At 36.0% G+C, this 11,448-nt stretch overlaps 1 annotated feature.

The window, feature by feature from the left end:
• Positions 10,191-10,802: an enhancer, noted in NCBI's record as "OCT4-NANOG hESC enhancer chrX:28144928-28145539 (GRCh37/hg19 assembly coordinates)". NCBI's record gives its function as "activates a minimal SCP1, AML or CMV promoter by ChIP-STARR-seq in primed H9 embryonic stem cells {active_cell/tissue: H9 hESC(primed)}" and the evidence as "EXISTENCE:reporter gene assay evidence [ECO:0000049][PMID:30033119]".

Here is an 11,448-nt window from a genome sequence, read left to right on the forward strand (position 1 = left end):
GAAAGGTAACTGATTTTCTCAAGGAATTTGCCTTCTGACTCAGAAGCAAGTGCTTAAAAGTGCTCACTAAAACCTATAAAATGGGTGTTATCAACCAGTCAAGTAGTAATTACATTATGATTTCCAGTGGCTTTGGTTTTAGCCTATTTACTCCCTCTTCTACCCCTTACCCTCATTATAGGAAAAGACCCTGCCGTCTTTAGTGAATGTTGTGGTATGCTGCCCAGATCTCTACTCCTTTCCCTTCTAGGGCTGGAGAATCCAATTCCACAATCCTGAGAGTTTTGGCAGCTGACTTTCTGACAGCAGAGTAACTTTCAGCTGAGTCCCCCTCTAGAGATTACCCTAGCTGAAGAGAACCAAGCCTAAGGTCACACCTGTTCCCAGGAGCAACGCTTATCAAATGACTGATGAATTCAGGAGTAAAAAGTCTGAGCCCCTCCTCCAATTCAGAACCACTCTGCAGAGACATCCCATTTTCATCACTCTCTCTGAAATTGTCATAACTGCATCTCAGCTCAGTGTCTCCTGATGTCCAATTCTCACAAATACTGATTTTAAGAGCACTTCCTAATAAGCTTCCTGCATGCAAATCTCCAACTCAGAGCGTCCCTTCCAGGCTCTGGATTTTCAGGGAATCAAACCTGGAACAATGCCCTTACCTCGGGGTGAACACAAGACCCAGGCTTATCCATTCGTGGTATCTGTCATCTGAAAGTTGTGAGTGCTCCAAGAATCAGCACACTGCCCAAGCTAAACCAAATAGATTTTCCCTTAGAGTTGTTTTTCAAATTTGGATAGGGTAAAATAACTTCTTTATTCCTTGGATACAACCTGTGAAGATGTGGGGCTCAAAGTAGTGGATGTCATGTCCACTGCAATGTAGTCTGAGAGAAGAAAAGAAGCAGAAAGCGGGGACAGAAAGAATCCTGCACCCTGCCCTTTTTATCATAGTGGATATTTGAGCCCTGCATTTGCCTTTTTGCTTAATTCAAGTTGAATTTCAGCACATAAAACCAAAGAACTCTAATCCATAAGTACTGTATGTCCAAGGTTTATAAAAATAAAATAATTTAAAACACCACTAATTTATTAAGGTGATTGGGAAATTTTAGGTTTCTTAATATATTCACCATTAGGAGGAAAGGAAATGAGCCGTTGTTCTCTAGAAACCATTATAAAAAGAGTCCAGAATTATCTTAATTGATTTCAGACCTTAGAAAGATGAAAACATACTGTTTTAATATGAAGGAATGAGTATAAGCTGAAGGCAGATGAGATAATTAGGCCTTTTCTCTTCTGCTTGGGGATTTATCTTTGTACTCATTTGAGTAGTAGCTGTTGCACAAATGATTGTTTCTTTGAAAATGTGCGTAGACCTTTATCAATCCCTTTTGAAAAGCAAATTTCCTTTCCATGAATGGTTTTCCATCTATGAACTAATAATAGAAACATATGCCCTTAATATATTAATGATTTTTGTGTGTTTGATACAAAAGAGATTTTGGCGTCTTGGGCATTTGATTACATTTAATTCCTCTCTATAAATCTTACAGACATTTTCCCTGGCTAAAATCTAAATCATTGACATAGCAAAAACTGTGTATCAAAAAGGAAAGCTATATTGGATTAGGGGACAAGAGGACACCAGGGAACCTGTAAATATGTCTTGTTAGGATTTTACTTTTTATTTTGTCCCTATGTTTCAATTTCATAGCTTTCCAGTTCCTAGGCATTGTTTTCCATCAACAAATATTACCTTAGTTTACATTAGTTCAGCAAATATTTACAGCGAACCTATTACATGTCAAAGACTGGGATAAGTCTTATATTTCTTTTTAGCATCTCCCAGATTTTTTTCCTTTAATTCATGTTTTTGTGTGTGTGGAAAACCATCTATACCTTTTTTTAATGTCTGATAATATATTTCTTACACTCTTACATATAAATGTCCATTTGACTGGTTATAAATATCTAGATGAAAACATCTTTGCTTTGCTATTTTTAAAACGCCATTCCGTTGTCTTCTTGCATCCAGAGATGCTATGTTGTCAACCTGATTCTTCTTTCTTTGACTATCATCTATACTCTCTGGAATTTTAGTGCATTTCTACTATTATATGTTGATGCATAGGTTTTTTCTCTTTTTTTGGCATTGTATGTGCCTTTTCGATCTAAGGTATTTATTTCACCTTTATTTTGGTAATTTTTTATTTAATATTTCTTCAAATCTCTCCTCTCTACCTCCCTCAGCCCCCCCTCCTCCTTTTCCTTCTTCCCCTCCCACCTCTCTCTTTGTTTTAGTCCTTTCCTACTTCTACTTCTAGGCCTCAGTATGTGTTGCTACTCTTCTATATCCTGTATTTTTAAACTTTCCATTTATATATGTTCTCTCTATATTCTTTCTTGCTGCTTTCAGGGAAGATAATTTCATTTGTTGTTCTACCTCACAAAAACACGTATTATGTGCTTTATTTCAACGACCATAGATTTTATGCCTTAATAATTCTACTATTGTCATCACTGTTGTTCTTGTTTCATCTTGTTAATATATTTACTGATTTACAATTTAATTTATATGCAAGCTTTTAAGGTTTTCTCTTTCTCCTGGAATTTTGAATGTTCCCAATGATTTGACATGGTATGGGGTCCCTTTTATTTATGTGCTAGTCTCTTGATGAGCCATTTTAATCTGGAGATTTATCATTCTGTTTGGGATCTTTTGTTCTTTGATAATGTATTTCCATCTGTTTTCTCTATTCTCTCTTTCCAATGCTTCAATCAGTCAGGCATGGGACCTAATCAATTGCTTACCTATTTTCTTATTTTCCATCTCCATCTCTTACTTTCTCTTTGTCTTATTGTTCTACTTTTTGTGACATTTTTCTCAACTTTATATTTCAGCCCTTCTGTTAAATTCTCATTGATGAGTATCTTATTTTTTATTATCAAAAACTCTCTTATGTTCTCCACCTTTTTTTCTGTTTTAATACAATTCTGTTTCAATGTCTTGGATGAAATATCTTCTCTTGTTTCCCTGTGGGTATTCATATTTTCATTTTCTTTTACTACATACATTTGTGTATGTTTCCTCCAATTTTATTTTTTTCAAGTTTGAGGCTCATCAAATGCCTATTAATTTGGGGCTATCCATTTAATTTAAGAGTGAGACACTACAAACATCTTTATTTTGATTGCCCTAACTCTAGGGTTATTGGATGCCAAATCCAGCTTTTATTAAGGGATCTACCAGATGTCAGTATTAGGACATTTTTTTCTCTGAGGAAATTAAGAAAATAATCCTCTACTCTCATGCATGGCAAATATATGCCTAGCTGCTCATGTTCTGGGATCATGAAGGAGGAAGGGGACTTAGAGTCTCTGCAGTTCACCGTTCAGACTTATACTTAATTCTCCCATTTTGAGCCCTGCTTCTCAACCATGAACCATGTTGTTCACTGAGATTATTTTCCCCAACCCAAAGCCTCTGTGGTTTGGTTTCTTCAGAAACTAATTTCCCACCTTCCCCCCAGGTTGGCAAAAGGGAGTAGTAATAGCCAACTGCTTTTGCAATATGGGGAAGGGATACAGGAAGGGAGTCAAATGTCTGGATAAAGGATTTCGAAATATCCTCATAAAGCCAGCCTTGTTCCTTAGCCCCACCTGCAAGGTATGTAGTATTTCCAATTGCTGAGTCACTCTTAAGATTCCGCAGAAAAATGTGGTGTCCTTTCCCCACGTTGTCATTTCTTTGCCCTGCTTAAGTCATGCCTCTCTCCCTCATCTGCCTTCTGCCTTCTAACATTTTTGAAATGACTGCTGCACAATAGTCACGTTATCATTGATCTTGTAGGTTAATAATGCCTCTTTAAAAAAAAAACTAATTCCTTGGCAATTTAGTGCCACTTTTGGAGGAAGAGGACATATGTACATGCAGCGAGACCAGCAAGATTAATTAAAATTTTATATTTGTCAGCCTATTTTGTGCTTCATGATTGCAAGCTTCTTTGATATTTATTGCTCTGTATTATTTTTCTGATTTTTTTGAAATATATATTGACCAAATACTCCTTGCTATGAAGTTGTGGAAATCATTTTTATACTACTGTTACAGTCATGCATCATCTAACAACAAGGATATGTGCTGAGTAATGTATCATTAGGCAATTTTGTCATTGTGCAAATGTCATCTAGTGGACCTACACAAACTTAGATAATATAGCCGACTACATATCTAAGCCATATGGTATAGCCTATTGCTCCTAGGCTACAAACCTAGACAGCATGTTGCTGTAGTGAATACTGTAGGCAATTGTAACATAATAGTAAGTATTAGTGTGTGTAAATATATCTAAACATGGAAAGGGTACAGTAGAAATATGGCATAAAAGATAAAATATGGGCCGGGCGCCGTGGCTCACTCCTGTAATACCAGCACTTTGGGAAGCCGAGGCGGGTGGATCACCTGAGTTCAGGAGTTTGAGACCAGCCTGACCAATATGATGAAACCCCTTCTCTACTAAAAATACAAAAATTAGCCGGGCATGGTGGCATGCGCCTGTAATCCCAGCTATTTGGGAGGCTGAGACAGGAGAATCACTTGAACCTGGGAGGTGGAGGTTGCAGCGAGCTGAGATCGCACCACTGTACTCCAGCCTGGGCAACAAGAGCAAAACTCCTCCGTCTCAAAAAAAAAAAAAGATAAAATATGGTACATCTCTATAGGGTGCTTACCATGAATGGAGCTTGCAGGAATGAAAGTTGCTCTGGGTGAGTCAGTGAGTGAGTGCTGAGTGAAAGTGAAGGCCAAGGACTTTACTGTGCACTACTGTAGTCTTTATAAACACTGTACACTTAAGCTACACTAAATTTATTAAAAATATTTTATTTCTTTAAAAATAAACTAACCTTAGACTACTGTAAATTTTTAACTTAATTTTTTTCTCTGGAGACAAGATCTTGCTCTGTCACCCAGCTGGAGTGCAGTTGCACAATCACAGCTCACTGTAACCTCAAATTTTGGGGCTCAAGTTATCTTCCTGCTTCAATCTCCTAAGTAGCAAGGACTACAGGTGCATGCCAACCCCAACCAGCTAAATGTCTTTATATTTTTGTAGCGATGGGGTTCTTGCTATGTTGCCTAGGCTGGTCTTGAACTCCTGGCCTCAGGCGATCCTCCCTCAGTTTCCCAAAGTGCTGGTATTACAGGCACAAGCCACTATGCCCAACCTCATTTTTTAAAAAATTTTGGCTCTTGTAATAACACTTCACTTAAAACACACATTGTACAGCTGTACAAAAATATTTTCTTTTTTTTTTGAATCCTCATCCTCATTCTATAAGCTTTTTTCTTTTCCTTTCTTTTTTTTTTTTTTTTTTTTTTTTTTGCTTTTTAAACTTTTTGGTTCAAAATGAAGACACAAACACACAGATTAGCCTAGGCCTATACAGAGTCAGGATCATCAATATCACTGTCTTCCACCTCCACATCTTGTCGCTATGGAAGGTCTTCAGGGGCAATAACACTCATGGAGCTGTCATCTCCTAGGATAACAATGCCTTCTTCTGTACTCCCTCCTGAAGAACCTGCCTAAGGTTGTTTTATAGTTAACTATTTTTTAATACATAGAAGGAGTACACGCTAAAATAACAATTAAAAAGTACATTATAGTAAATACATAACCCAGTAACATAGTCGTATATTAACATTATCAAATAGTATGTACTGTACATAATGGTATGTGCTATACTTTTAAATGACTGCCAGCACAGTAGGTTTGTTTAGACCAGCATCACCACAAACAAGTGAATAATGCATTGTGCTACATTACAATGGCGCTGCCATCACTAGGGATAGGAAATTTTCAACTCCATTTTAATGTTATGGAACTGACATCATATATGTGATCCATTGTTGACCAAAATATTACCATGCACTGCATGACTGCATTTGAATGTCTGTTTTTCTTCTACTATCTGTAATGCATCGGTATTCTACCTCTCGGCAGGATAAAGTATTTTACTACCTGCGACCCCTTTGTTAAATCAATCTTATTTTTGAAAAGAAGACTTTAATCTTTTTATTTTTAAATTTGCTCTTTTTAAAAGGCGTTGTAATTACTTTTCTGATTCCTGTTAGTATAGCACTTATTTAGATATTCCTTTTTTTTAGTTTTAACAGGTGAATGATTACTGCCATTTATTCTGTTTCTCTCATGCTTGAGATATTTAGCGATAGCCATTCCTCATTTGGCTGGAGTGCTGCTATTAGCATTTTTTCCAAACAATGTACATGGATGGGTTAATTCTTAATTCATGAAACTGTTTCTCTGTTGCCCTCACATAAGAACATAGCATAAATTTACTGCAAAGTAGATTCATAGATGAAAATCTCTTCCTCAAAACTCTATACGCTCTGAGTTCCACTGGGCCATCTAGAATATGTGAATGGGTTTCCCAGACTTCATGAACCATGTAAAACTACGAACTCTTTATGTGAATGAGCACATGTGCATTTTTCTGGAGAAAGGATCCACAATCAGATAGTAAAAGATACCCATTTCCCCCAAATATTATTTATAGACTTTGTACCACTGTATTCTGGTATTTAGTTTCCTAAATCTCCTTTTTTGCCCCCTTTGCTAATAACTTGCCTAGAAGCTTGCAGGAATTTTACTTAGTATTTTACATTCTGAAATTTCACTGCGGTATGTCTACGTGTTTTTCTTTTTCCATTAACTTTGCCAAATATTTAGAGAGTTATTTTTGTCTAAAGACTTTAGCCCTGTGTAAACTCTGGGAAAATTTTGTTCTGTTATTTCTTTTTTTAATGAATTTTCTCCACCATCTTCTTCCGAGAATTTTGTAATATATATAAGAGGTTCTTCCCTTACCTTTCTCCCTCTAATATCTTTTCTTTTGGCATAGCATATAACTACTTCACCTTTTACTTCAAGCATTTCAAAACAGTAGAGCTAAGGCAATTCCGTGCTAAGGCCAGGTGGGTTTTTTCAAACAAACAAACAAACAAACTCCTGTCCTTCTAGCAGGCTGAATTTAACTAGAAAAATGCATACTCTATCTGACAAAACTACACACCTAGAAATTGTGCTATTATCATAAGAGTCCCCATTTTCTAAAAAGGCCAAATATCCTAAGGGAAGCATCATGGCCAGTTTTAAAGTCAGCTCATTGTAGTAAATGTACGCTAGTCTGAAGGGTTGTGAAGCTTGTTCTTTCCCCTTCTCTATTTAGCCCATCCTTTGAAAGTCCACTGTTTTGTAATGGAGTAATTCCCTCAGGTTTATTTACTCTATACTTAGCTGGAATCCAGGGCCACAATGAAGCTCCTGAAATCTTGTTTTTGTCCTGCTGGGACCATAGACTGGCCTGTCCCTAGTTCCCTGTGTCCAGGAACTAGGGATTTTCTGAGAACAATCTTGGCACACACTTACAGGTTACCAGTGTTGTTCCATTATTGAATTGGAGACTGATTCATATAGATTATTCTTCACACAGTCAGATCGTATTTGATTCATTTGAAAAAGAATTGTGAAGACTTTCTGTTTTATTTTTGGATTATTATGCATTTTCCATCTTTGTTGCAGGTTTCTTTTTTCATTTAGTAGGCTTTGGGAAGGATTGAAAGGTAAATGCTTGCACTCAAATCACCATCTAAAAATTTAAACCTAAAGCCATTTTCTAAAATGCTGTTATTTAGAATAATAATTTACTCTTATCTATACCCTTTGCCATTCCTTATTTTTTACTGTGCTGAAAAACCTTTAATGGTTCAACATTCTCCCACCAAAATACAACTCAAGAAACCTTGCATTTATTAGATCCCTAAATCTATCCCCTACCAACTTTTCCAACTTATCTCCCTGTCTCTCCACATAAGACACCTGTCTGTTTCAACCAAACAACTCTGTTCATTGTTTCCCAGACAGCCCTGCCTCTGACACTTTAGTTGGGCTATCCGGATATCCAGCATGTGCTCTTCCATCCATGTCTGTATAAACATTTAAGAACTGACTAGTCATCCAGGATGCTACTTTAAAATCTGACTCAATGAATATGGAATCGAAGAGGGAAAAACATATCTTTGTTTTGATTGGCAGACCAAACTTTGATGGAATTAGGAGGCTCAGATAGGAATTGAAAGAAGCTATCTTACACTTCAAAATTGTCAATAAGTTTCAAGAACACAAAAGATTATATCAATACTAGGAGTTATTTAGATAGATACAAGTCCTGGAGTGGTGTGATTTTAGTAACACAAACCAATACAAATATTAACATTTGCCTGGTCAAGAGGATGGCGTAAGTAGCCCAAAACAAAACAAAACAAAAACCCTAGAACTCATATAGGCAGATTCCCATGAGTTTAGACAAAATTCCACTGGCTGTCGTTCATTCTACGTATAAAAACTTCTAACACTTAGTTTTTATCTAATCCACCTAAAAGCAAGCAAATACAAATAACAAAATAAAACATAGTTTCTTCAGATGCCATAATAAGTGAATTGCTAATAGGGCATTACAAAAATTATCATTTTCCCATTTACCAAAATTGTGAATTAATCTTATGCAAGTTTTCCTGGGCTCATTTTTGATAAAACTTTAATAGAACTTGGTGAGAAGGCAACAAATGAAAAACTCCGTATATACCATACCTCATTGAATCTATCTATAGCATCACCAATTTCAGAGATATTTATATTCTTAAATAAATATGGCAATGGTAAGATGGTATTTATTGTAAGATAATTCTCTAGTTCTGAGATGTTTCAGTATTGGAAAAAATGAGCATTTTATAGAATTAGTGAAATACAGGTGTCCCAGTTGTCATCAAAAAGCACTGCCATGGTAGGAGCCTTCACAATAAATAGCACCTCAGTTCCTTGTTGAGTGCCCTTTAACTTTCCAATCAAATGCATAAAGTTAAATTTAGTTGCTATCCCTGTATGGACACATTTTTAAAAAAACTACCTGAGCTACTTCTAATCACTTTGATGTGAACTGAAATAAAAGTGTAAGTTTTATGTAAGATAATATCAAACATCAGCTAAACCCTTTGGGATTTCTTTCCAAACAGGATGTGGATGTGGTTACAGTTGCTATTTAAGAAATAGAGAGAATAAAAATAAGATTAGTGTTTCTGTACATTTTGACAACTCCCATTAAGAGAAAAGCATCTGCAATCATATTTGAAGTGTACCTAATGTTAGATAGGAACTATCTATGACTATCGTGCTTATTAGTGCATTCAGGCAATTCAGAATTTAAATAAAACCCAAAGCACCAAATTTAGAAAAATACTGCATGGTGAGATATAATGTTTGGTATGCTGTAGTGTCAGAGGTGCTTTTTAAATTCTTATTTTAATTAGTTTCTTTGTGGTTTTTTCTTGAGGGAGGGAGGGAGTGGTACACTAGCTTTACTTTTGATCTACAAAAGAAATACATGATGCTGGTAAATTTTATTGTAAGCTAAAATGAATGAATCCCTGAGATACAAAGATAAAATTCTTTGTGAAACAGTAAAATAAATTTTAAAAATAATAAATTGTAACAAATGTTATTCACATTTTTAATGACGAAATATATTTGCTATGCTGTAATTATTTCAAACCAATGGTATAGAAAATTATTTCAAACCAATGGTATAGATAGACACAGGAATCAGAAAATTTATAGAGAAATCAAATCAAACCTAATGGACTCATGATTTTAATGTGAGTGACTTCAAATATATTTAAGTTAGGAAGTTGAGATGTCACATAGAAAAGGTTTGTGCCATTTTAAGTAGGTTACTCTTCAAAAGATTAAGAGAAAATGGAGCTTATTATTTTCCCCAAATGTCAATAAACTCAACTCTAATTGTATTTTATTGCTTCTGAGATAAATTTATCTATCTCTGTTCTTCATATCATCCTTAGGCCTTAACCTTCTGGCCCCTCATTCATCTTCACTCTTCTACAAGCATTTTGTTATTATAACTTTGTACTGCAATCTTGATTTAACTTGCAACATACGTCCAGGAGTATTTCTTCTCTTTTGTTTTATTTTCTTCTTTTTAAATTTCATTGTCTTCTCATGAGGAATGTATGTTAAAAGAAAATTAAGTCTCTAAATATTATCATATTTACAAATAACATAGTACCCCCATCACACCTAGGGAAAAAAAAAAAATCTTTGCACAGCAGAAATCACCAGTACCTAAAGTGTTGACCAAGTTCACCTTAAAGTTCCCTTCAGCTTGACTAGCATTAGACAGGCTTCTTCTTGACTCTAGGCCAGACCTCATTTTTCTTAGAGGATTTACTTTAGAAAGCTTGTTACTGTAAATTCTTTCTCTTCCTTCCCTCTTTGAGATGCAAATATATTAGAAGCCTCTAACCACTTTCATACCCCAGGAATGTCTTCCCAAGGACCTGGGAGCCTTCCTTTTGAAATGTAATTATCAAGGAAGATAGTGCCCCTATCTGCCAGTCTCTGGATGGATAGGAGCCTAATTCAATGGTGACCAATTAGGGAACACAGATGGCCTAATCACAAAGACAATAATTTGCAAACTCAGGAAACTAACTCAATGTGCTCATATTACATTGATTAACCTTCCCCCTATTGTCCTCCAGTACTGTTCCACTAGCTCATCCTTGTCCCTTTAAAACCTCCCAGCCCTTTGTTCTCATGGAACTGAGTTCAGACTGAGTTCTAGCTTACCTCCCCTATTGCAATAGCCTTGCTTGTTTAACTTTGTCCAGTGAAATTCCGCTTTGACAGTTTTAATTTATCACTCTAGTCCCCCACAGAAACAAATATATTATTGTAGACAGCAATTTTCAGTACTTGGTTAACTTTCCATGTAAAATTTTCCAATTTTCTGCTTCAAAATTAACTTTTCTAAAAACAGTAGGCTGCCTATATAAAATGAGTTCAAAATGTCACTATATTAGTTTCCTACTGATGTTACAACAAATTACCACAAATTTCGTGGCCTAAAACAATACAAATTTATTATCCTACAGTTCTGAAGGTCGGAAGTCCAAAAGGAGTCTCACTGGACTAAAGTCAAGGTGTTGGCAGGGCTGGTTCCTGCCTAAAGCTTTAGGGGAAAATCCTTTTCCTTAAGTTTTCTAGCTTCTAGAGGCTACTCACATTCCTTGGCCCCCTGGCTCCACATCACGCCAACCTCTGATTCATCATCACATATCCTTTGTTGACTCTAACTCTCTTACTTCCCTTTTCCTTTACAAGGACCTTTATACATTGGGCCAACCCAGATAATCAAAGATGACCTTCCATCCCAAGATCCTTAATCACAACAGTAAAGTCCCTTTTTTTCGCCATGTAAAATGGCTTTCACTGATTCTGAGGATTAGGATGTAAACATCCCTGGGTTCCTCTGGTTTCCATTATTCTGCCTACTTAAAATAGTCCGATG

The sequence above is a fragment of the Homo sapiens genome, chromosome X (assembly GCF_000001405.40).
Source record: "Homo sapiens chromosome X, GRCh38.p14 Primary Assembly".
Taxonomy (NCBI): domain Eukaryota; kingdom Metazoa; phylum Chordata; class Mammalia; order Primates; family Hominidae; genus Homo; species Homo sapiens.